Source organism: Homo sapiens, chromosome 18 (genome assembly GCF_000001405.40).
Source record: "Homo sapiens chromosome 18, GRCh38.p14 Primary Assembly".
NCBI lineage: Eukaryota > Metazoa > Chordata > Mammalia > Primates > Hominidae > Homo > Homo sapiens.
Window position 1 is genome coordinate 62,233,771 of NC_000018.10, and position 27,266 is coordinate 62,261,036.

At 33.7% G+C, this 27,266-nt stretch overlaps 1 protein-coding gene across 30 annotated transcripts in view, besides 2 other annotated features; it reads left to right on the top strand.

Moving 5' to 3' along the window:
• Positions 1 to 27,266, top strand: part of RELCH (RAB11 binding and LisH domain, coiled-coil and HEAT repeat containing) — a 122,995-nt gene that overhangs the window by 46,516 nt on the left and 49,213 nt on the right. For 22 of the 30 annotated variants that reach the window (NR_144406.2, NR_144412.2, NR_144410.2 and 19 more), the window contains 5 exons: positions 10,994 to 11,106; positions 18,894 to 18,984; positions 21,637 to 21,708; positions 24,178 to 24,318; positions 24,742 to 24,906. Coding sequence is in view for 20 of the 30 variants with exons in the window: in NM_001346230.2 (NP_001333159.1) it covers positions 10,994 to 11,106; positions 18,894 to 18,984; positions 21,637 to 21,708; positions 24,178 to 24,318; positions 24,742 to 24,906 (582 nt within the window). In the remaining 10 variants the exon portion in view is untranslated. The other 8 variants (NR_144409.2, NR_144407.2, NR_144405.2 and 5 more) reach the window with 6 other exon arrangements.
• Positions 15,825 to 15,874: a silencer, noted in NCBI's record as "silent region_9503". NCBI's record gives its function as "represses an Ori minimal core promoter by ATAC-STARR-seq in GM12878 lymphoblastoid cells {active_cell/tissue: GM12878}" and the evidence as "EXISTENCE:reporter gene assay evidence [ECO:0000049][PMID:35858748]".
• Positions 16,840 to 17,009: an enhancer, noted in NCBI's record as "experimental_48897 CRE fragment used in MPRA reporter constructs". NCBI's record gives its function as "activates a minimal promoter by MPRAs in K562 erythroleukemia cells, with activity observed for both the introgressed and non-introgressed 18:59917928 variant alleles {active_cell/tissue: K562}" and the evidence as "EXISTENCE:reporter gene assay evidence [ECO:0000049][PMID:34662402]".

Here is a 27,266-nt window from a genome sequence, read left to right on the forward strand (position 1 = left end):
ACAGAAACCTAATTATTATGAAATTCAGTTTTAGCTTTTTTATTTTAATTTTTCATATTATCATAAAAGACTACCATTAAAATGATTGTACTGCATGAAATATTTATAAATTTGCATCATCAGTAATCAGATACATTATACATACAGATTATCTACCTATATGCACACATATAACTAATTTGTGGTATGATGTTTACTTTTCTGGCTGATTTTAAATTTTTTATAATTAAAAAATATATATTTCATGAAAAACTGATCATCTATCTTTGTTCATTTAATTATTTGTATGTTTTATCAGAAAAGTTGCCATTTATAATAAAATGAAATTGTATTTCCTCAAAATTAAATTGGTAAATAATGAATTATGTCTTAGAGTGATTTAAAATCAATCCCTGGGCATAACAGAACAAAACATTTTTTCGTTACATCTCTTGATATTGAATTACTTTTTAATATTTCACCCGTTTCTTATTATAAATCTATACATATCTCTCCCTCTATGGGGAGACAGAGAGAGTTGTTGGTTTTTTGTTTTGTTTTGTTTTTTGGGTTTTTTTTTTTATTTGAGGCAGGTTCTCACACTGTCACTCAGGCTGGAGTACAGTGGCACAGTCATGGCTCGCTACAGCCTCAAACTCCAGGGCTTAAGCATTAAATCTACATTTTTATAAAACTCCTGTGATTGAAGGATTAATATTTTGACTTCTTATTTCTCAAGTTTGATATATATTCTCTTGTCAGCAAAAGCCTTTTTATTGGTATTTAAATAAAATTTAAATGTTCTTTAGTAAACTGAACTTAGTAATATCTTAGCTGATTAAATAAAGCATTGGAAACAGGGTTTAATGTTTTGATTAATATGTTTACATGGTGTAATTTTTTTAATGTAAAAAAAATGTACAATGAAAATTCCTTTATTCCTGTCCTTGAGCTTCTGTCACATGCAGTCAGTTTTGCTAGCTTCTAGAGTATTCTTTCAAGTCCTTTGACCATTTTTAAATTTGATTGTTTATCTTCATGTTTTTGAGTTGTAAGAGTTTTTTTATATATTCTGGGTAGTAAACCCTTATCATATATATGATTTGCAAATATTTTCTTTCATCCTGTAGGTTTTCTTTTTACACTCTTGACCATATCCTTTGATGGGCAAATGTTTTCCATTTTTATGAAATCTGATTTATCTATTTTTTTGTTGTGTTGTTTGTGCTCTAAGTATCAATTTTAAGAAACCATTGCCAAGTCAATCAATGTTATAGAAGATATATATATCTATATGTATATGAATATATATAAGAGCTAAAGCTATGAAACAATTAGAAGAAAACATTTGTTATATATATTTAGGTCAACGATTCATTTTGAGTTAATTTTTATATATGGAGTAAAACAGCGTCTAACTTTATTCTTTTCATATGGCTATCCAGTTATCCAGAAACATTTGTTCAAGATAAAAAAATTCCTCTTTTGAATAGTCTTGCTACTTTTGTCAAAAATCAGTTGGGCCTAGATTCTTCGGGTTTATTTCTGGACTTTCAGTTCTGTTCCATTGGTCTGTATGTCTAGCCATATGCCACTACCACACTGTTTTGATAACTGTTGTTTGTAGTAAGTTTTGAAATTGGGATATATGAGTCCTCTAACTGCACATCACTATTGTCTGTTCAGGGTCCCTTGCAGTTCCGCATGAATTTGATGCTCAGCCTTTCACTTCTGCAAAACAGGTCATTGAAATTTTTATAGAGATTACATTAAATCTGTAGATCTCTTTGGGAGTATTGTCATCCTAACAACATTAAGTTTTCCAGTTCATGGACATGGAATGTCTTTTTGTTTTAGATCTTTAATTTCTTTCAGTAATATTTTGTAATTTTTAGTATACAATTCTTTCACTTCTTTGGCTAAATTTATTCCTAGGTATTTTGTTCTCTTGGATGGTATTGTAAATGGAATTGTTCTTTTAGTTTTCTTTTCAAGAAGGGAAAGGTTTATCCTGGTTATCAAAACAACACTGGTCATTGTGTGTTGATCTTAAATCTTGCAACTTTGCTGCATTTGCTTATTAACTCTAATCATTTTTTATGGGTTCTATGAGATTTTCTACATATATAGAATCATGTCATCTGCACGTAGAGAGATAGTTTTGCTTCTTCTTTACAATATAGATGGCTTTTATTTTTTCCTCTTGCTTAATTGCTCTGGCTAGGATTTCCAATACAATTTGGATGGTAATGTTTTGAGAAAGCAATATCCTTGCCTTGTTTCTGATCTTACAGGAAAGCTTCAATCTTTCACCATTGACTATGATGTTTGCTATAGAATTTTTATAAATGCCCTTTGTCATATTAAAGAAGTTTCCTTTTATCCCTAGTTTGCTAAATATTCTTATCATAAAATGGCATTGAATTTGCCACATGCTTTTTCTGCATCTGTTGAGATGATAATGCGATTTTTCCCCTTTCGTTCTACTGTCATATGCCTGCATTATTTATACATTGCCTGATTTTATGTTAAACCACCCTTGCATTCATGAGATACATCCCATTTGGCCTTGGTTTATAAACCTTCTAATGTGCTTTTGGATCTGTCGTTAGTATTTTGTTAAGTATTTTTTTGTCTATATTCATAAGGGATACTGTTCTGTGGTTTTCTTATCTTGTGTTTTGGTATTTGGTATTGGTTTTGGTATTGGGCTAAGGCTGGCTTGATAGGGTATAGGAACTCTTCAGTCTGTTTCCTTGTTATAAGTCTGTTGGGATTTTCTACTTAATCAGTTTGGTGATTTCTATGATTCTAGGAATTAGTTCATTTCATCTTGATTATCTGATTTGTTGATGAACAGTTGTTCATAGTATTAACTTATATCTTTTAATTTCTGTAACATCGGTACTAACATCCTTGCTTTCATTTCTGATCCTAGTTATTTGCATCTTCTCTCTTTTTCAGTCAGTCTAGCTAAACGTTTGTCAATTTTGTTTCTCTTTTCAAAAACCAACTTTTGTTTTGTTAATTCTCTTTATTGTTTTTCTAGTCTATGTTTCATTTATCTCTGTAATCTTTATTATTTCTTTCCTTCTGCTGGCCTTGGGTTTAGTTTGATCTTTCTGTAGTTCCATAAGATATTGAATTACTGACTTGAGATCTTTTTTAATGTAGGTATTTATAGCTATAAATTTCCCTCTGAGTACTGCTTTTGCTGTATCTCATTAGTTTTGGTATGTTGTTTTCATTTTCATTCATCTCAATGTTTTCTCATTAATTCTTGATTTCTTCCTTGACCTATTGCTTATTTAAGAGCATGTTGTTTAATAGCCACATATTTGTGAATGTTCCATTTTTCTTGTGTTACTGATTCTTAATTTCATTCTGTTGTAGTCAGAGAAATATTTTATATGACTTTGATCTTTTAAATTTACTAAGAATTACCTATGCCTAACTTATGGTCTGTCCTGGAGAACGTTCTGTGTGCATTTGAGAAGAATATATATTCTGCTGATGTTAAGTGGAGTGTTCTGTATAATTTTATTAGATTTAGTTGTTTTATAAAGTTTGGGTTCTCTATTTCCTTATTGATCTTCTGTCTAGAATTTCTGTACAGTATGAAAGTAGGGTATTGAAGACTCCAACTATTATTGTAGAACTGTCTTATATTCCTTCGGAGATACTTTGTGCATGTATAAATTCAAATATGTGATCTTTTCCCCATGATTTAAACAAATGATACTGTATTCTATGCACTACTCTCTACTTTGCTGTTTTTATACTTAACATTAGATTTTACTTTTTATATCATGATATAAAGAACTTTCTATTAGTGTTTTCAAACTTTGACTACACCTTCAGTAAAAAAGATGTTTTACATCATGTGCCAGTATGTACTTACATATATAAAATTAAAAGTTTTACAAAACATAAAGTAAAGACAAGCAATACCAAACATGATTTTATAAATATTTTGGAAAAATAAAGAAAAAAATCCTTAAGTAAGCAATTAAAAAAGAAAAACATGCTGTTCATGACCCATTCAACTGATTTTGTGACCCACTGTTTTAAAGATAGTAGGATAAAGGTTTAATCAGAGCTGTCTAATAAATTAACTTTTTTAAATAGAAAGCACGATGAATATAGATATTAGCATTATTTGTTTTTCTTTAAAACAAGAAAAAGAAAAAAGTAACAACTTTACTCAATCTTCAGGTTACAATTATAATATTTTTTAATTCAGTGCATCTTATTTTAAATCTAAGATGCAATTGGTTGTAACAGTTATGTTTCTTTAAGAAAGAAAAAGAATCCCAATTGAATTATGGCGTGCTATCTATCATAAGATACACCCATATTTCAAAGATACTAAAAAGTTTAACAGAAATATGTACCTCTTAGGTTCTTTGAAATAATGGTAGTCTCTTTTTACTAACTTATATTTTAAAGTCAAATATTTATCTCTGCTGTAATCTTTATTATTTCCTTCCTTCTACTGGCCTTGGGTTTAGTTGATCCTTCTGTAGTTCCTTGCCTGTTCATTTTGGGAGAGAAAAGTAAAAGATGGACTGATTTTTTATATGTGGCTTACATAGTAGTTCATTTTAATGGATTGGTTCAGGAAACTTGAATCTTTTGAGCCAAATTATAGAAATAAATATATTTGTCATTTGATAAATGTATATAGTAAATAAGCTAAAGTAGTTGGTTTTTCACAATTTCTGCTTTGACCGCATTTGAAGAGGAAATTCTATAATTAAAAAATAGAATTTTTTAAAAGATTACTTCAAGTAGCATTTTTGGTAATCATACATCAAAATGTAACTTTCAGTTTCATTCTGTGCCAAGGAAATATGTTCTATCAGCTAGCTAAGTTGGAATATCAAAGGAGAAATCTGGGGCTGAGATGGGAGTGGAAATGAGGAGAGACTTAATGGAGACCAGCTTTCCTTTTGGGATATTGGAAGTCTTCTAAAATTATATTGTAACAATGGTTGTACAACTCTGAATGTGCTAAAAACCACTGAATAGACAATTGAAATGGATGGACTTTATGAAGATGAAACATATCTCAATAAAACCGTCATTAAAAAGGCAAAGGAGAAAACCACTTATCTCAGTAAAGCTGTAACAAAAAAGGCAAAGGAAAGAACCAATTCCCTAAAAGTTTTTAAAGTAGTTGGTACCTCTACAGACCTCCCGTCTTATGAGAAACTAGACTTTGATCTTTTACATTGCCACTCATGTTTCCTTCATGGAAACCTTACAAGTAATGATCGCCTCAGAGGATCATAACTCTATGAGATGTATACAGTAGTATAGTGGATAAGTGTAATAAAGTAGATAGGAAGTTTTGACTCCCTTCTTTAAACCTATGTGATGTTGGCATGTGTGCATATTTAATTTTGTGAGTACATCACATTTCTTTAGCAATAGTGAGACTTGAGGTAAGGTTATTTAGGTACTTTAGGTTTCCTAAAGATTGAGCCCTGGAAATTATAGATATTTAATATTAATAATTCTAAGAATCGGTATTTTTAGCAGCCCTTGAATTGTAAAACTTTTACAGAGGTGAGTAATCTTTTTTTTTTTTTCTTATGTGAGTCTTTGTAATGTCTTTCTTTATTGGGTTTCCTTTTTATATGAACAGGAACAAGCTGAAAAGTTTCAACTGAAAAGTTAAATCAGAGGTTGTACACTATCTACAGACCAACAAAGGCTCACAGATAGGTTTGTTTGGCCTATTCAGTAATGGTAAAAATGATGTGCTAGTTATCAAACTTTTAAAAACTGATATTTTACCTAAAAATACAAAATTTTGGCTTTTTTTGAAAACTCCTAGTCTGGAGTTTTCCTCCAGTCTAAGAGCACTAGACTTACATTTCCAAATGATCTTTTCAATTGGAGCACAGTTCCGGTCTGTCCCCTGTAGGTGGGACATGGGATCTCTAGTTAGCCACAGTTGCTGCCATACTTTTTTGCCCCTAGTCACTAAAGCCCCGTGTTAGTGCTGTTTATCATCATGTTTGCATTATTGTTTTCCTTATACCCTTTGTTTTACATGTTTACGTTACCTTCTTGACCCTCCTTGTCTTGTACTGATAAGCCTTTTGTTTAGGTTCCTCCACGCCTTCTGTGCTATGTATTAAATTTTATACACTTGTATCTTCGCTTATCAGTACCCTAATTTTCACATTATATCCAAATGTAATATATATTTGGATATAAATATATTTGGATATAATGTAATGTGACAATTAGGGTACTGATAAGCCAAGATACAAGTGTATCTTGTATCTTGACACTAGTAAGTAAAATAATGTCACATTATATTTGGATATAATCTAAATAAAAATCCAAATAAAATAATAAGTAAATATGATATCACATTATATTTGTATATAATCTTGACAAGTAGAGTACTGATAAGCCAAGGATATCTTAGCTGCTTTGGAACAGATATTTTTATATTGCTTATTGTCTTTCCTTCCTTCTTCAGTCGTTTCTACTCCATCCCCAATTGTTTTCAGCATATGTTCTTTCCTTTGGATTGTGCAAAAGAATTATCTTGATTTATTTAAATATGGATATTAAATATTGAAATTTAAATTTCAAAAGATTACCATTGACTCAAAGAAAACCATTTTCTTTTTTTTTTCTTTTTCTTTTTTTTTTTGGTGACAGGGTCTCACTCTGTCACCCAGGCTGGAGTACAGTGGCACAATCACAGCTCACTGCAGCCTTGACCTTCTGGCCTCAATAGATCCTCCTACCTCAGCCTCCCAAGCAACTGCGACTACAGGTGCACACCACCACGCCCAGCTAATTTTTGTATTTTTGGTAGAGATAGGGTTTCGCCATCTTGCCCAGGCTGGTTTCGAATGCTAATCCTCTTCTATTAATGAATTCTAAAAGTCCTAGAAATTCTGCAGTAGGATTATTATACTGATTTTTCTCTTTAATGATCATAGACACTCTGTTAAATATTTCACTTCAATACACATTACTGAGTACTCTCTAGGTTGCCAAATCATGTTTTAAAATATTTTCCTATTGCTTAAAATATGGCTATATTAGCTGGGCACAGTGGCACATAGTTCCTGCTACTAAGGAGGCTGAGGCAGGAGGATCTTGTGGAGTTCTAAATAAGGAGGGGGAGTTGGGCTGGCGAGACTGAGGGAAAGCAAAAAAAGAAAGTGGATAAGCTGTAAGTCTGCCTTTCTTTATGGTCCAGGACACATAGCCCTCCTGTGCAAATAACTCACAATCTTCCTGTGCAAAGCTATCACCAGACACCTCAGCTAATAGAAAAATGCAAGTTAGCTTACTGCAACCTTAGCTTTATCAGTACTGCACAAAGCCCTCTTCAGCACACAGCATGAGCACCAGCAACTCTTTGTCTCCTTGCAGTTAGCTCCTCTCTTGCTGACCTGCCCTTTGCTTTCTTGCAATGTATTTTCCTACTTTGTCTAATAAATCTGCCTTTCTTTACCCACAACTGTCTTGGCAAATTATTTTTACCACTCAGAGCAACACCAGCCCCAGATAGTCACTGCCCACAACAGATCTCTTGAGCCCAGGAGTTTGGGGCAGTAGTGTGCTATGATCACGCCTGTAAATAGCCAATTGCCTTCAAGCCTGGGCAATATAACAAGACCCAGTCTCTTAATAAAAAGAAAGAAATGCAAACACATAAGTTTTATTATGTGAAGCAAAAAAAATACCTCTTGGATCTAATATTACCCAAGCCATAGTTATTTTCTTACCATAGTTATTATTTTAATATTACATGAAATGTTAAATCTAATATGCCTAAGGATTTTTTTATTGCTCTATTATTCTGATTTACATTTAGTCTTTCAAAGATATTTTTAGAACACCTTGTCTTCTGATGGAAATTTAATCACCATTTTTTAAATGCTGTATTCAGAATTATAAGGAAAGTTTTAAGACTATACTTTTTCAGTGTGAGAGATGATGCCAAAGGGAGAATATTGATTCAAGTCTATTAACTTATGAATAGTCTGAAAATGGTAAATACAGACTTAGTAAATTCTGGTGTGGATTTATTAGTGTTTCAGAGGCTTGAAAGATGAATTCACAATAAATGTGAATAAATAACACAACAGACATATACTTACAGAATCTATTTTTTATTTTAATAGCAATACAAATAGAAGTTATAAATAAATGGATAATTGAGAAATTAGCATATTTGGGGGCAGTCTCAATCTAGCAATTATCCTAATCGTGTTCCTTGCTGGCTCTGTCAGAAACAGACCACTCTCTGCATTTTTCTTCCTCACTTACTGGACCTCTTCTCAGCTCTGTGTTGCTGTAAGAGGAAGAAGCCATCCGGCATCCTTTAAACTCTGAGTTGTAACTGCCATAGCCATAATATGCCAAGGTGGACCACTCTCCTTGGCATGGAATAGCAACCAAAAATTATTGGCAGTGACTTCCCATATGTTGTTAATTTGCCAGCAAGAAATAAAAGCTGATGGCAATATCAATTATTACTGTGATTAAGAAAAGTGAAAAATATTTTTTTCAAAGTCCTAAATTCACAGAAATTTAGGGTTCAAGGAGACAAGGACTCACAAATACTTTCCTTCTAATATGTCAGTTTGAATTGATTCATAGCAACTGCTGTGTTGAAACGGCTTTTTTAGGCCATCTTTGCTTTCAGAAGGAAAAATTAGCAGCAATAGATAAATTGCAGAATGTATGTGAAGTGTTTTCCATTTGTGCATTAATCTTAATTCCTACGTGTTTCACTTGAAGAAACTGAAAGAGAAGTTTGTGCTTTTCTTTAGTTTCCTTGGTACTAAGTGGTAAACTAAGGTAAGAACTCTTTCAGCTCCTGGGCCAGAGTTCTCAGTTTGGCACATCTGTAGCCATATTTCAGTTAAAATATTGTCCATATTAATGTATGACATAAACTTCCTCCTTGATTAAGGATCACTAAGCCTCATGATAAAAAAGCAAAAGAAAGTAAAATATAAGGCGTAAAGGATAAAGAGCAACACAGTTGTTTTTGTATGCTTGTTTTTGAGATAAAGAAGTTAAAGATTATACTCTACATTTTAAGTGTGTGTGTGTGTGTTTGCAATTATAGCAGCTATCTTACCTTCATTTCATAACTTTAAACAGTAATAGGCTAGGAAGAAATGGGAAAAATAGTATGAGAAGTATACATGTAGAGATGATGGGAAAGCAGGAAGGGAGATTAGGAGGAAACAAGATCTGACATGAAGACAAAGTACAAATAAAATTATTAGGGCTTTTCTTGGTTTTCAGGCATTAGAATAGCTTCTCACTTTTTTAATGCTTCCAGAATAACTACTTTTCATCCTTAAGGTTCTACTCTCAATAGTATACCCTGATGATGCAATGTCTTAGTCGTCTCATTAGTATCATTGCCTCTCAGCAGCCCATATGGAATCAACTAAGGATTAGGACAGTCCTTGCTATTAATGATCTCCTACCCTAATATTGTTAAATTTCCAGCCAGACAGAATATTTACTATTTTGTAAAAGGTTGTTTATTTTCTTCTACAGAATCAGGACTAATCCATCAAGCATTATATTAAGCCTCTAGGGAAAACATATAGGATCTACACATATGCTCTGTCTCTCATTCCCAGTGCAAAATTATTTTTCCTAATCATTTTTTATTCCTTTTCAATTATTCACTAAGGTAAAACCTACAGAGATGCCCAAACAGGAAGACTGAAAATGGCAGAATAAATGTTTCACATTCTTTTTTTCTCAGATATATTCTTAGCTCCTCTTACCTATATCTTTGTACCTTCAAATTTAAGATTTGCAATATATAAAGACTTTAGAAACAACGGAGAGAGACTTCTAGTCATACATTTAAGCTTCAGTTTCAACTCTTCGAAAAATCATCTCTTAGGAAGCATCTTCAAAGTGTGAAAATACTTCAACAGTGTAGACTTTTTATCATGCTTTTCTTCAGGTTACATTATTATTTTTGTTAGGTTATATTATTATAGACAGTAATAATCATGCATTATTACAATAGTGATCAATTTCTATTTTAAATCTCTTAACAGTTTTCGGTGAGTATCAAGACAGATGGGAAAGAAATGGGTGTAGTCATTCTTCCCTTCTTAATTACATCATAGTGATTTCTTTACTGTATTTACAAAATATTGTTTTTATAACTTAGAGGATTTCTCGCAAAAATATTTTATTACTTTTGGACCATTATTCTTCTTGGATTTGAAAATCCACTCAAATGAAAAACATTAATGTATTTTGAATGTACTTTAGTGTTAAGAATTTCATCTTAATTAAAATGTAAAACAATGTAATTAATTTCAAGTGTCTCTTAGAAATAAACTTTTAGCTCTTACTTTCCTACAAAATGCTGAATTTACCTCTGCATATTGAATGTGAAGAAAACAAAATATTGTTAAAATTTTGTATTTCAACATCAAATATTTCTACTGATACTGAGACAATTCAACATCTATGAAAATGGTCTTTTTAGTTAGGCACTGGGTCAAGTGCTAAGGGTACAAAATTGTTAGATCTAATCATAAGGACATTATATTGTCCTTACAGAAGTGGGAAAAGTGGTCTTTATTTTTTATTATCTTTTTAAGTTTTAAATTATAGTGGACTTCTGCAACTTTTGTTTAAAAACACTTTTAGAATTAAAATTACGGTGTCAGCATGTCACATGATGGAATGTTATTTAGTGTAAAAGCTAGTGGGCCCTTGGGAAGTACTAGATTAAAAACCAAGGCTAGTTGAATCTTAAGCAACTTTTGTTACATTGTGATTTACATTTCCTCCACAACCAACACATAAACGTTTTAGTGTAAACATCTCTTGAATTACCAACCTTACAAAATTAAAATTTACCCTTTTGTTTACTGAGGTTTATTTCACTTTAAATGTCCATTTAAGAATATTGTGGAGGAAAAAAGAATATTCTGCAATGTGTTTTTATTTGAATTTTTCCACCCTCGTATTTCTTTAGGAGTTGATCCCCCTCATATTGTGTACAGCATGTCTACATCCTGAGCCTAAAGAGCGAGATCAGCTTCTCCACATACTTTTCAATTTGATCAAGAGGCCAGATGATGAGCAAAGGTGGGTATGATTACATATGTGAAAAAGAAATACAATGTGACTTACTGATTTTAACTAATTAGGCATCAGGATTAGCATTTGAATCTAAAATGCCTTCTTTCCTTCCAGTATCTATTTTAGCAGCGCTGGAGCATTCCCCCATCATGGATTCACTCCTTCATGGTTTCAAAACCTACGAAAATGCATTTCAAACTATAATGTCATCATCAGGTTCCCTTTCCTCCTCACCTTCTCTTTTTAAAGGGACCTGGAATTTACTGCAACAAAAAAAACAGATAATAGGGAAATCACTCTAAGAAATTTACCTTATGCATAATAAATAAAACCTAAAACAAAAATAGCTTTCTAAAATATGTATAAATCCTACTAAGACCTGATTACTTATCACCTGCTATAATTACTGACAAGTCTCATTGTTTAAATCTTTGAAAAGGAATTCTATACCTTCTCAAAATGTTCAGTTTCGGCCAGGCGCCATGGCTCATGCCTGTAATCCCAGGACTTTGGGAGGCGGAGGCAGGCAGATCATCTGAGGTCAGGAATTCGTGACCAGCCTGGTCAACATGGTGAAACTCTATCTCTTCTAAAAATACGAAAAAATCAGCTGGGCGTGGTGGTGGGCGCCTGTAATCCCAGCTACTCAGGAGGCTGAGGCAGGAGAATCGCTTGAACCCAAGAGGCAGAGGTTGCAAATGAGCCAAGAACATGCCATTGCACTCCAGCCTGGGAGACAAGAGTGAAAGTCCGTCTCAAAAAAAACAAAAAGTTAAGTTTCTCAAGGTTGCTACACAGATATAGGTACTGAAGGCCATTATCTAAATTATCTTGTATTTTTGAGGGACTAATTCAATTTCTTGTAAAAATGTAAATGTTCTCTGAAAATTGCAAGATAGTTACTTTTGTCTGAAAAAAATCTGCCATTAATACACTTTTCTGCTTTCTAGTAGACAAGCATCTACTAGTAATTGATGATTAGATTATGCCCAAACCCTCTAGTGGAAGGGGGAGGGAGTGAATGTATTCTAGCCAAATCATCTGTTGACTAGAAAACGGCTCTTCTCCTCTGCTCTCCAAGTGCAACAAGTTCCAGATAGGTAGCATAGCAGCAAATTGTACATACCTGGTGACCCCCTCAGGCATTCTAATGTTCTCCAAATAGAAACCTAACTAACCTTCAGTAAGGCAGATTTTTTTAAAAAAGCCCAACTTCATCTGCCTGTATATGTTCTCAGTGATATTTTTTATGAATCCTAAGACCTATAAAAGCTCAAAATGCAGATTTTGCATCAAACCATTTATCGTAAAACATTGAGGTGCAGTTTTTATACACAAAACTTTCTATCTTTTTAAGAATTCTGTTTGTATGGCTTATTGCCTAATAATTTTTGATATTCATGTAATCTCAGTAAGCGTCTTTTCTTAGAAATATGTGTATATATATTCTATTCTGTTAGATTCTGAGCTACTTTTTAATGTTTACCTTACAGTGAGATTCTCCCAACTGAAAGCAAGTGGAGTTTATTTTTTTCAATCTTGATTGTTGAGAGAGAGAACTTCTGGTTTAAGGTAGTGATAGGTTGACATTTCTTGATATTTCCTTCCCAAATTGGAATTTGCTATTGAAGACATTTAAAAAGTATAAAAAACTAAGATATAAACACTAAACATTTGTGAAAAACACAGTTAACAGTCAGCCATTTGAAGGGCCTGAGAAAATTTTCTGTTACTCTAATATCATTTAATGAAGCTCTATTAGGAAGGCCCTTGTAGTTTTCACTTTGAGAAAAGTATGTTTCAGTTGGCTAACAAGTAAGTAGAATGCACTAAGTCAGACAGCCATTATTTTTATCTAAGGCAGTCAGTTATTTCTGTCCTCATTCAGTCTGCTGTCAGTGTTTCTCTTTCTTCATCCATTCAGAGATTATTATTCCCAGTAAACAAGAAATAGAGGGAGATGGGCAAATGATATCTTTTATCCTTAAATATGTGGTTTTATCACAAACAAAGCCAGATAAAGACCAGAAATAGCCCTAGAAGTACACAGTAAGGGTTAGTTTTTTTATATACGATATTTGTCTGAATTAAACTCCAGCCTACTTCAAATCCTGTATAGCATAAATTATCATCATTGTCAAGAGAACTGGGCGTTGAGAAAAGGAGAAAAGCACACCTGGATTCAGCAGAACGACATTAAATTATTATGTCTTTAATATATCTGAGATATCTCAGGGAGTGAAGCCATTAACTGTGGCTCCTCCCTTTCTCTCAAAATGAACTGGAGCTGGATCAATTTCTTCTTATCAAAGATTAGTCTATAGAAACCAAAATCCACATGAGCCCCATAAAAATTGCACTTTACAGTGAAAATAACAGTTACTCTAAATTCAGAATAAAGGCATATCTTAGAAAATGATGTATTACAAGAACCAAAGAAACATTTTGAAACATCATTTAGTGGCCTAAAAAAGAGGCAAGAATTCCTGGCTATTATAAACAGGAGAATGGAGCCAAAATAAATGTAGGCTTAGAGGAAAAAGATTGTCTGGAATAAGGAGAGCTAGCAGAATGAAAAAAAAATTAAAATATGCAGTGTTTTCAAATTTATGTTGAAGACAAAGTAATAGATTTGAGACTATTGAAAATTGAATCCATGTTTATTATAAGCGATTTTTTTTTTTTTTTCCTGAGACAGGGTCTCACTCTGTCTCCCAGGCTGGAGTGCAGAGGCACAATCATGGCTCACTGCAACCTCCACCTTCCCAGGCTCAGGTGATTCTCCCACCTCCCAAGTAGCCAAGTAGCTGGGACCACAGGCATGCATCACCATGCCTGGCTAATGGTTGTATTTTTTGTAGAGACAGGGTTTCGTCTTGTTGCCCAGGCTGGTCTTGAACTCCTGGATTCAAGTGATCTGCCTGCCTGGACTTTGCCAGGTGCTGGGATTACAAGCATGAGCCACTGTGCCGAGCTGATAAATTTCACATATCAATAAAGCACGGTATTCACTGGCCATTTGCAGGATTGAAGGATTGTTTGCCCAAACTTTTGTGGTTTCAATAATTTCCAGAAACTCTTCAACCATAGCTCATAATACATCCTGATGGACAAAATGTAAATGTATATGTTCCTGCAATATCAGGCCCTGACTTTTCTGTAAAATGTTTTGGAAAGCTGCCATTACCTTTGTGCATGGTATGAATAGTGTTAATCAACAGATTGACAGCCTTAAAAGCATTTTGGCATTAATTACTGCTTCACTCAATGTAAGTTCACAAAAATGCATGTATAAAGCTCCTGTATATACATGTTTATAAAAATGCATGTATAAAGTTTCCTCCGTAAACTTTGCTGCAACCCTTTAAACTTTTTCCTTATAAAGGCATTGTGATGAACTTAGCAACACATTTTATTCCAGTCATTTTGTTTTAAAATGAGCAAATTTGTTAATAATCCTCAGAAAGTTGGCTCCAGTAAACTCCCTCAACAGTTAAATCCCAGTTTCTCTTTAATTATGAAAGTCTTTGAAGTTTGAAGTTATGTATTAATTAACAGAGGAAACGTTGCCCAAATTTTTGTAATAAGCAGAGGGAACACTGGCCTCACCCACAATGTTCTGCAATATTTTCATTCTTACTATTCCAATTACTCATTTGTTTTAGTTACCTTTGGACTTCTAATTCACATACTGCTTTGCCTTTATATGCCATGCTTGATTTCTCCTAAACATTCCCCTTTTTCCCACAGATGAACTAGATACATTATGATCTTTTAATGGTTATGCTTTATTAAAAAATGTTTATGCTTTATAAAAAAATAAAATATTTAATATATGAATTTGTGCATCACTGGGTTATCAGTAAACCATTGCTGTGTGGCTAAAGAGATACGGTATGTTATTTTGGCTAGTCCTGAGTCTAATACCCACAAGTAAAGATGCCTGAGTTGAGCATCTACTCAGAGTGATGAGGAGGGCCACAGATCAGGGTGACACATGAGAAGAAAGCTGAATGGGTTTTGATCAAGCAATGATGATAGCTATCTACCTCAAATCATAAAACATTTAAATATTAAGTGAAGCTGTACAAGTAGGGACTTGAACAAAGCATCCTGGATGGGTGGATAGATGGATTAAGCACCAATTGGATAAAATAAAGCAGTTGAATGTTTTCCTATGTTATAATTTTTATCTTAATGAAAAAATGATTTTTGCTTATACTTTGCAAAATAATAGAATTGTACTTAATGATTTTGTAGCTTTATGTAATTTCAGTACTTGCTTTTCTGACTGATATAATTTTTCCTCTTCTGAGAATGTTGGAAAATCATAAATAAGAATGAACTATGAAAGATATCAAGCTTATATTTTAAAATACAAAGAACCCCTCAACTAGGAGAATACAAACACTTCTATAGACTTTGAAATTCTATTACTGAAACTTCTTTTCTGCAATTATCAAAATATACCTGACCAAGTAGAGAAACTTGCTCTTTTCAGTATCCAGCTAAGGTTAATTTATACCAGCAGCCCTAACATGCAAGTCAACTAGGAATAAGGGAAATTAAATCACTATATTAGTACCATTCATTGCAAACTAAAAATTTCCCAAGGACAACTTGGTGGTACTATAGGAAAATTAGTATTTTATTTTTTCCTTTAAAAATACCATTTCCTATCTTGGTAATTTAGTTAATAATTAAATATAGTTATTATTACATTTTCATTTTTAGATTTTCAAGGCAAAAACCTGGTCTTAGAGTCTATTTTCATAAACCTTGCATGTAAAGCTAACAGCTGCCACCTGGTGGCCAAAAGTACTTACTAGCCTTACTTCAGGTCAAGGTGCATCAGGGATCAACACTCAAGTCCACGCTTTTTTTTTTCTGTAAGGTGAAAGTGATCTACTTTCACCTTACACAAATATAAATTTACTAAAATAGACTAATATATTCATTATTAGCTATGTGTTATATAATATAAATAACATGAAAAAAGCAAAAACTTTAGGTTAGCAAAATATATTTGATATAATCAGTTATTTTTCTTAATGAATCTCAGGCTGCTTTGATCGTATCCCGAGAAAAGCTTAATTTTATGCTCAATAATGATGCTTTCACCAATTCTTTTCTAGCAACCATAATTGGTACCATATGTCTACCTGTATCATTTACTAATGAAACAATCCTTGTACTGTGATTTTCCACAAGTAGGAACAACATTTATTTTTACTATCATAGTAGCCTATTTCCAATGTTGTTAATAACCTGTGGGCCTTCTAATCTTTTCTGTTTTGGACTGTATTTCAAAGCCGTCATATTTTCTAAAATTTTCAATATTAACTCTTCTAAGAAGTTTATTTCAAGGGGCCTAATGTTTTTTCCTATTAAAGTTTGTAGTCTTTAGTATAGTGATGGTGACTTATGATTTATAGTCATTTCATGTGAAGCTCTATACAAGTGTGCACCTCTTGTAAGTGTTCAAAACGCTTTTTAAGAAAATTTAGCTATTACAATTATCAAACATGTATGGCTTCTCATTTTAATACACTAATGAGGGCAAAAACAATGATCAGCTATTAGGAAATGTTCATTAGGAGCAGGCAGCTGAAGTGCTTGCTAATATCTTTTTCCATTTTCCTTTCATTCACTTTATTTGCCTTCCTAAAGTAGAAGGAAATAGGAATGCAAAAGAAAAGTTGAGAAGTAGAAACAGAGGGTAATGATATAAAGGGGAATCAGATAGATAAAAACTACAAGGATTGTGGTGAATTAGAAGCTGCTTGCAATGTACAGTGAAGACACATTGGCTCACCGTTTCCCCCAGTGTTTCCAAAGAGCTTTGTTATTCTTCTTAACTTAAGCAAACAATTAGTAACTAATCTGACCAAACCAAATAGAAATTTAAAGTCATTTTGCAGTTAATTTAAATTGACATATATTGAGATATAACAATGAGCAATGCCTAGACGTAAAGTACTGATTTTATAATTAATGTGAATTACATAAGCATTCTATTTTGGTTTTCCTTGAAGTTGGCTACTTTAAAACATCTATTAAAAATATACTTTTTTTCCCATCAGGTTTTACTGTTTTAAAGTGTTAGACAATCAAAGTGGAAGAACTTAAAATTCTGCATTTTAAAGTCATTTTAGATGGAACTTCATTCTGAAGAGTGCAAAGTCTTACTTAGAATTTTATGTTTTTTTTAGTTACAAATCTATCAATTCAAATGAAGATAATGTATTAGTTATTGGTTAACTATTGTTTTGTAACAAAGTACCCCAGAAGAAAGTGGTTTAAAACATCTTTTATCTTACAGTTTCTGTGGGTCAGGAATCTGGGTCCTCTGCTTCAGGGTCTCTTACAAAGCTGTAGTCAAAGGTCCGTTGGGGCTATAGTCATCTCAGCTGGAGAAGGGATTTAGCTGGAGAAGGGTTTGCTTTTAATCTTAATCACACAGTTGGTCATTGTCAAGAATCAGTTCCTCAAGGATTCTTAGTCTGAGGGCTTCATCTCCTCACTGACTGGTGGCCAGAAGCCACCTTTAATTCCTTCCCATGTGGGTCTCTCCAACATGGCAGCTTGGTTTATCTAAGCATGCCTGCTGAGAAGGCAGTAGAGTCCAACAAGATGGACATCACAGACTTTTGGAACCTAATCTCAAAATTGACCTCTTATCACTTTGGTCATATTCTATTCATTAGACACAAGTCACTAGGCCCAGTCTGCACTCAAAGAGATGCGATCATTGAGAGTCATGTCAGAAACTACCTACCATAGTTATCTTAGGTATAATACCAAAAAATCTGATTCTTAAAATACCACTTTATTAATATGATACTGTAGTTTTTAATTATAGAAACACTGGGAGAATAATCACTGGTTGTTTTAGTGTCTAGAAAGTGAAGTTGTGTAGAAACTGAAGCATTGGGCATATATAATCTCAGAATGTATGTGTGGGAAGGTAATTTGGAAGGTTATGAGATTCAGCCTCATACCTATACAGAAATCCCTTCACAACATCTGTCACAGATGGTGTTGTCACTGCTGGAGTGGCTAATCTTAAAGAACTTAGGTTCTTGGTGGCAGCTTAGGCCATTGTTAGCAAGGTATAATTTTTTCTTTTTTTCTTTTTTTTCTTGAGACGGAGTCTCACTCTGTTGCCAGGCTGGGGTGCAGTGGCGCTATCTAGGCTCACCGCAACCTCCGCTTCCCAGGTTCAAGTGATTCCCCTGCCTCAGCCTCCCGAGTAGCTGGGACTACAGTCGGGTGCCACCACGCCCGGCTAATTTTTTTTTTTTTTTTTTAGTAGAGACGGGGTTTCACCATGTTGGCCAGGGCGGTCTCTATCTCCTGACCTCATGATCTGCCCGCCTCAGCCTCCCAAAGTGCTGGGATTACAGGCGTGAGCTACTGCACCGGGCCAAAAGGTCTAATTTTTCAAAACCAGACTGTGCAACATGGTGAAACGCCGTCTCTACAAAAAAACACAGAAACTATCTGGGCATGGTGGTGAACACTTATAGTCCCAGCTACTCGAGAGGATGAGGTGGGAGGGCTGCTTGAGCCTGGGAGGTGGAGGTTGCAGTAAGCCAAGATTATGCCACTGCACTCCAGCCTGGGAGACAGCCAGACTCTATCTCAAAAAAAATAAATAAATAAAAAGTCTAATTTGATTGTATAAAAATCTTGTACTCTATGTGAATTTATAGAGATGAGACTTTTTTAACCCTTAGTCCTAGTTGTGCTTTCTCATGCAAATACAAGCCGTTTTTTATATTATTTTTCAGGCAAATGATACTGACAGGTTGTGTGGCATTTGCGCGTCATGTTGGACCAACACGTGTAGAAGCTGAACTTTTACCACAGTGTTGGGAACAGGTAAATAACTGTATTGAGTTTTCACCTAGCTATTATAGCCTGATTTCTTAAGAAGATACATAGTTTCCTTTTTAAAGGCGTTTAAGAAATATGTGGGATATAAATTATGCTGATGTTTCTGTAGCCCAGCACAGTGATTTATTAGTACTTACGAATGCTCTGGGGTGCTTTCCTTTATTCATTCAGTCAACAAGTACTTATGAAACACTAATTTCAGTGCCAGGTACTGAGGTAGTCACTAGGGATACAGTGGTGAACAAAAGACAAAGACATCCTAATGGGAAAATGAGTAAACAAAGAAATGGTCTGCTATTTTGTAGTAATTTATATTATGAAGAAGAAAAATAAAGCAGGATAAGGGTGAGAGAGTGATGGGGAATGCTCTCCTATGAAGGGTGGTCAGAGAAAGAATCTCTGAGGCAATGATGTTTAGGAAAGAATCTGAATGAACTAAGATGCAACAAGAACAAAGGCCCTGAGGTGGGAGTATACTTGAAGAAACAGCAAGAAGATTGTGTGTGTGTGTGTGTGTGTGTGTGTGTGTGTGTGTGTGTGTGTAAATAGAAATATATATTGTATACTTGTATATATTACAAATATATAAGGTGTAAATCTTTGATGTGGGAGGTTTTTGTATTTATACTTGAACTCATTATTTTACTAACAATGATTTTGCTTTTACATTGAATTTAAAATTCCAGTCCTCTGTATAACTCAGAATCATTGACTTTCTAGACTTAATGTTTAGATCATTCAGCACCTTATTTTTCCACCTTAAAAAGATGTGTTTCCTGCTTATGGAGACAAATTACATGGCTTTATTTACAATAGCACAGTCACTTATTCTTAAGAAAAATATTAGTCTCTGGAATATCACTGAAGTATTAGTCATTTATAGTCCTATTCCCAAGTTCTTTGGGCATTCATTTTTTCCACCAAAATAAAGTAGAAACCCTAGATTCAATAGACAAAGTAAACATTACATATAATAATAACTACCTGTCACAATCCCTTATACCATCTATAAATTACAGTGCATACTAATTTAGGGTGAGGTTCTAATCACTTGGAGTCAAAATAACTTGGGTACAATATATCCATATAACTTTCAATTTACAATTCTATACAGTTAATTGTGCACATTTAATTTTTTATATTTTTTCCATTTTCTTTTGTCTTTTTCTTTTCAAGTGTACAATTTAATGGTTTCAGTGTTGTGCAAGCTTCACTACAATCAGTTTTTAAACATTTTTGCTATCCCAAAGACAAACCCTAACTGCTTGAATTCGGTTCTCCTCTTTCAAGATTATTTTGACGGTTCCAGGTCCCTTGAATTTTCTTATGAATTTTAGGATCATTTTTCAATTTTTGCAAAGAAGCCAGCTGGGATTTTCATAAACAATGCATTGAATCTATAGATTTATCTAGAGAGTATTGCCATCCTAATTTTATATATTAAGTCTTTCATTCTATGAATTTAGGATGTCTTTCCATGCATTGGGTCTTTTAAAATTTCTCTCAACAGTAATTTGTATTTTTCCGAGTAGTGTACGTTTTGCCCTTTTGTTTTATTTATTTCTAAGTATTTCATGCTTTTGGATGCTATTGTAAATAGACTTTTTTCTTAATTTTATTTTTAGTTTGTTCATTGCTAATATATAGACATACAATTGATTTTTGCATTTCAATTTTGAGACTTACTGAGCTAAAGAAAAGCAAACGAAAGTTTATGCACAGCCATACGTTGACATTCAAACATTCTACTTTTGAGGTAACTACATCTGGATTAAATTTAATTCAAAGATGTCAGTTATAAACATCTCTACTGCCACCTCTTCTGTAACCTGAGTAAACTTGGATATCGGGGATCTATCTAGCCGCCTACCTCCAGTTTGTTGCCCAGTAGATTATTATATAATTTTTTTTCTTAATTTTAGGCATCCAATACATTAATGAATTATGTCACCTTTTCATATGGGAATATGAGAACAAATATACTCCTTTTCCAGTCAAAGAAAGATTTATATTCTATGAAGAAGACATATGGGAACAAAACCCAGTATGTGTCATTTTTTTTGTTATTTTTGGTTATGGTTCAGTGTAGTCATCACAATAGCAAAACCCCATCATTTTGCATTTGCAAACAGAGGAATGGATTGAAGTCTGCTTACTTTATAAATAAAAGCATATTTCTAGCAAGGGTTCTGGTCAAATCATTGATTAACTTCCTTCCTCATCCCTTAGGTTGAAGAAAGAAGACTGGCACATATTATAGACCGTATCTATAAGATCCAGAAGCTGAGTTTTCCAAGTTTAAAAATATTCTACTCTTGCTAGGGAAAGGTCCTGGTTTCTCCTGTTACTCTAAGGAAGGCCTACTCTTAGGCAAGCCCATAATCTCTAGATACCTTGCCAAATTTTCATCTTGGTTTTCCCTTTTTTCTTTAACAGATGACCCCTGTAACCTCATATTTAGGTTCTCCCTCACTCCCTCATTCCCGATCCAGGTATAGTCAAACAGGGATTCCCAGAAGTGGAAAAGGAAGAAGCTTTATTGCATTCTTAACAGGATTTGTGGTGAAATGTAATTCTCTTTTGAAGGAAGGGAGGGTATGCTGTTTATGCTTGATTTATTTATTTTTTTTGCTCTAGATTAATCACAAATACCCAGAAAGACGACTGCTTGTGGCAGAATCCTGTGGAGCACTGGCACCTTACCTTCCTGTAAGATTGTCTTTTTTTTTTTCTTTAAACTATTTTTCCAATAATAGAAAAACCTTTTTTTGAGTGTCTTATAGATTTTAATCCAAATGTCTCCTAGATGTGCTGTCTTAATAAAGAAAAGAGATGATCCAAAAAAGAGACTCACATTAGTACAGTATGGCATTGCAGACACATAGGTACATTACCACTGATTTTGGATGAGTATAAATATATTAAACTATATCAGCAGTTCTCATAGTGTGGTCTGAGGACCCTGGGGGTTTCCTTGAGATCCTTCCAAAAAGGTCCATGAGGAGAAAACTGTTTTCATAATAATAAGACACTTTTTGTCTCTTTCACTGTGTTGAAATTTGTATTGTTGGTGCAAAAGCAGGGATGGGCAAAAATGCTGCTGCATTAGCACTAATCAGGGCAGTGGCACCCAAATGTACTATTATAATAATGATTGTATTCTTTACTGCCATGCTTTTGCAGAAAAAGCCAATTTCACCTAAAAAGGAGCTTGCTGAATCAGTAAAATTATTTATTTTACTAAATTTTGACCTGTGAAGCATGCATCTTTTTAATATTCTGTGAGACAAAATAGAAAGTACTCATATAAAAACCCTTTGCTGCATACTGAAAAATTATAGCCATTTGCAGGAAAAGCACTTAGGCAGTTGTTTGAGTTATGAGCTCAACTAGCTGCTTTTTTTTTAATGGGACACCAATTTTACTTCACAGAAACACTTACAGTCAAACTGGTTTTTCAGACTTGGGTATGTGGCAGACATTTTCATGAAATTGGATGGAGTGAGAATGTCACTTCAAGGAAACCAAGTAGACAGCATTCATTGCCAGTGGATTTATACTCCTACTAACAGTACCTTGGAGTTTTTATTTTCCCATACCTTCACCAGGAACTAGGCACGGTGAAATTTTTTTAATGTTTTTCTAGTGGAAGAAAATGCCTTATTGTTGTGATAAATCATACAGATTGATGCAAATGGTTTTGAGCATCTTATTATTTATTGTTCCAAGACAGATGAGCATCCCTTGCTCTCAAAGGATAAATAGGCTGTTCTACTCTGATCCTAGAATACTAAGCAGTATTAATAATAGATACAATGTTTCCTCAGCGGATCTATGTTTGCCTTCTGCGTACCCCATTGTCACTGATAGCAGCAAAATGTCTCTACATTGGCAGTTTCTCAGTGTGTTCATGACTTAAATAGAGTAATGCCTCCTGACCAATGCTCTGGTGGGGTCCCTGTGGCATACTAAAACTGATTGCCACAGTTGACCCTTGCCTAAATCAGCATAAAGCAAATGCCCACTTGAAGCTTATTTTCCTCTGTCATATTGCCTTGTGTGGATACCAACCAACAAGTCCCTTTAAATAGTTTAAGATATTTTAGGGCAATTTTTAGCCTAAAAAGTAAATAAATGAGGCTGTACCAAAAGATGTTATATATTCACCAACCTAAATGTGTTTTAAGATATGCTAAAATTGCATGTATTTTTGTTTCTAAAAAGTGAAAACCAGACTTTTTAAAAATGTCTCTCAAGCCTTGCTCTACATACCAAATCATGCTGTAAATTTATGCAAATAGCCATGTCATCTGCCTTTATTTTTATTTTATCGTAGTTATTGTATGTAAAAAGGACCTAAACAAGTTTATGTTTTAAGAATTTTATAAATTGCAATATTAGTACAAGTAGGAGAGGAGGAGCATGAATTTGTATATTGGTAGCTCTTTATCCTAACCTCAGCCATGAAGCTAAAACACTCTTTATCATAACTGGAAAATATTCTGTGTGAAATCAAGGCACAGCAGTGGGTGTACATTATATTAACTATTAGCATAAAAAAGAGCAATGCAATTTTTAAGTACTTTTAAAGTTCACTCTCTTATTTTATTATCCTTTTTTTCCCACTTCTTCAAAGAAATAGGAATGCCAGGATTTTAGGTTTCCTCACCATATCCCAGACAAATTTTCTAATTGCCAGAGAGATTTTTGTAGTTCCTCCTGTTAAAACTCTCAGTGCTCTTCTCTGAGTGAAACAAATAGTGACACGAGAGTCATTGTCCATTTGTAGTAGAGTTTGTAGTAGACTTTGTTGATTTGTTGAAAGTGCCTCCTAGTGTGAACTGCAAGGATTTGAGAGATTTTTACATATTTAGTAAAGATATAAAAAACATGCTGAGAGATGATTAATAAATACCAAATTCAAAGTAGATATTACTGCCTCTAGAGAGGAAGGGATTTGGGCATGAGTGATATTTTTGCTGTATCTGTAATGTTTTATGTCTTCAAAAAAAAAAGGTCTGAAGCAAAATCTCTGTACATCAACAGTTAGTCAGCATTTTTAATAAAAATGTTAATACCTGTTTAATCTGGATTTTGACCACACTGATGTTTGTCATATTATTTTCTATACTTCTGTGCTTAGGTGTAAATAAATAGTAAAAACATGTTTATTTTCAGAAAGAAATCCGTAGCTCCTTGGTTCTTTCAATGTTGCAACAAATGTTAATGGAAGATAAGGCAGATTTGGTAAGAGAAGCTGTTATCAAAAGCCTTGGTATCATTATGGGATACATTGATGATCCAGACAAATATCATCAGGTATGTTTTTCAGAATGAACTGATTTTACTCCATTATAAAATTCCAAGTATTATAATATTCCAAATCTCTGATTTAGATACTTTATAATGTATCATAAGGATGGCAGGTATGTCAACTTTAGTCATCTGGGGATGGCTGCCTGGTTTCAATTTTGCAGCTCAGAGGAGAGAATGCTACACTTCAGTTATAGTATCTGCCACAGCTTTCTGGCAGGAAATTGGCAAGAGGTATTCTATGTTTACCACTCCCTCTCTTTGGTTTGCTCATCAGTGGATACATGGCAAGGCTAGGATTATGGATGGCCTTCTTTCTTGCTTAAAAATATGTTCTTAATTTATTGAAATTTTTATTACTTTTTATTAAGTGTTTTATTTTAAGTTTATCCCTTTAAAAATCTACATTTGCCTTTTTCTCATTGACAGGGTTTTGAATTGTTGCTGTCAGCCTTGGGTGATCCCTCAGAAAGAGTAGTTAGTGCTACACATCAAGTATTTTTACCAGCTTACGCTGCGTGGACTACAGAACTTGGAAATTTACAGTCTCATCTTATACTTACACTACTGAACAAGATTGAAAAACTTCTCAGGGTAAGTTCTTCTTTTGTTTATATAGTTTGTAGAAACTTAAAAGGTCTGTCCTAAGCCATCTTGGAACAATGTTAGAGAACAGAGACAGAAAGTGCCCTTAGCTTAACATACTAATACATTACCAGTTAAAGATGCTGTTGGACTGGAGCCAAGAAAGAGATTTGAGGAAGTTTTGCTTTGCTGAAGCTGGAGGAAGAGAAAGGGCATGATGTGCATTTGTTAACTGAAATGCACCTTCATGGAAGTAACTCCTACATTATTCAGAAAGCCAGCTCTTTCTTGACCCTTCTGAGTACTTAAATATTTTACACAAACCATCAACTCTAGTTCCAGAATGCAGAGAAAATGAGTCTCTAAAGCTTTCTTACATAGTGTCAAAATTGCTTTAACTGTGGTTATTCCACTCCAGTAGTTCATTTCTCATTTTTAAAATGAACTTTTAATTTTTCCCACATACAAGAATTAAAGAAATGTTGATGGAACAATAGAAACTTCTTGATCTAATTTTTGTATTAAAAGTTTCTTTTAGAGACTAGAAGAGAAATTATTATTTGTGTAGTGCATATTATGTGCCAAATCTATAAAAAGAGATAGGAAGTAGGAGAGGGGAAGTATTATAGCATGAAATGCTGCTGGGTTAGCGTTTGAGCATTTCTATATGCCAACAGTGAATAAGCTAAAAAAAAAATCAAGAAAGCAATCACATTTACAATAGTTTTATAAAAAATGCTTAGGAATATATATAACCAAAGAGATGAAGGATCTCTGCCATGAAAACTATAAAACACTGATGAAAGAAATTGAAGAGGAAATGTTAAAAAAAAAAGATATCCATATTTAGTTGTTCATAGAAGAATTAATATTGTTAAAAATGTGTATACTACCCAAAGTGATCTACAGATTCATTGCAATCCCTATCAAAATATGGAGGACATTCTTTAAGATATAGAAAAAGCAATCTGAAAATTCATGTGGAACCACAAAAGACCCTGAATAACCAAAGCAAGCCTGAGCAAAAAGAACAAATCTGGAAAAAGTGCACTATCTGACTTCAAAATATACTTCAAAGCAGTAGTAACCAAACATCTTGGTATTGGCATAAAACAGACATATTGACCAGTGTAATAGAGTAGAGAACCCAGAAATAAATTCACACATTTACAGCCAGCTCATTTTTGACAAAGGCACCAAGAACATATATTGAGGAAAGGACAGTTTCTTCAGTAAGTCAACTGAAAATGGATTAAAGACTTAAATGTAAGACATGAAACTACTAAAAGAAAACATTGTTTCAGTACGTTGGTCTGAGCAAAGATTTTTGAAGAAAGATCTCAAAAGCATAGGCAACAAAGCAAAAATAGACAAATGGGATTATATTAAAGTAAAAAGCTTCCGCGCAGCAAAGGAATCAGCAGAGTGAACAAACAGCCTACAGAATGGGAGAAAATATTTGCAAACTCTCCATCCAACAAGGGATTAATAACCAAAATATGTAAGGATTCAAACAACTCAACAGCAAAAAAAAAAAATCCAATTAAGGAATGGGCAAATGATCTGAATAAACACTTCTCAAAAGAAGACATATGGCCAAAAGTTATATGAAGAAGTGTTTAACATCACTAATCATCAGGTAAATGCAAATCTAAACCAAAATGAAGTATCATGTCACCCCAGTTGAAATGACTATTATTAAAAAGACAAAAAAAAAAAAAAAGATGCTGGTCAAGGTGTGGAGAAAGGGGAACCTTCGTACACTGTTGGTAGGAATGTAAATTAGTACAGCCACTATGGAAAACAGTGTGGAAGTTCCTCACAAAACTAAAAACAGAAATACCTGTAATCCACCAATCCCACCACTGGGTATATATCTAAAAGAAAGGAAGTCAGTATATTGAAAAGATATATACTTTCAAGGACTTACATGTTGAGTTTCAAGCACTCACATATTTCTTACAGCACTATTCATAATAGTCAGGATATAGAATCAACCTAAGTGTCCATCAGTAGATGAATAGATAAAGAAAATATGGTATATATAAACAATGGAATATTATTCAGCCATTAAAAAAAGAATGCTATCCTGTCGTTTGCTGCAGCAGGTAGCCTAGAGGACATTATGTTAAGTGAAATAAACCAGGCACAGAAAGACAAATATTGAATGTTCTCACTCACATGTGGGAGCTTAAACAGTTGATCTCAAGGAGGTAAAGAATGAAATGGACCAGAAGCTGGGGTCTGGGGGAGTAATGAACAGAAAAATACAGTTAGATAGAAGAAATACATTCTAGTGTTTGATAGCACAGTAGGGTGACCATAGTTAACAATAATGTGTTATATATTTGAAAAATAGCTAGAAGAGA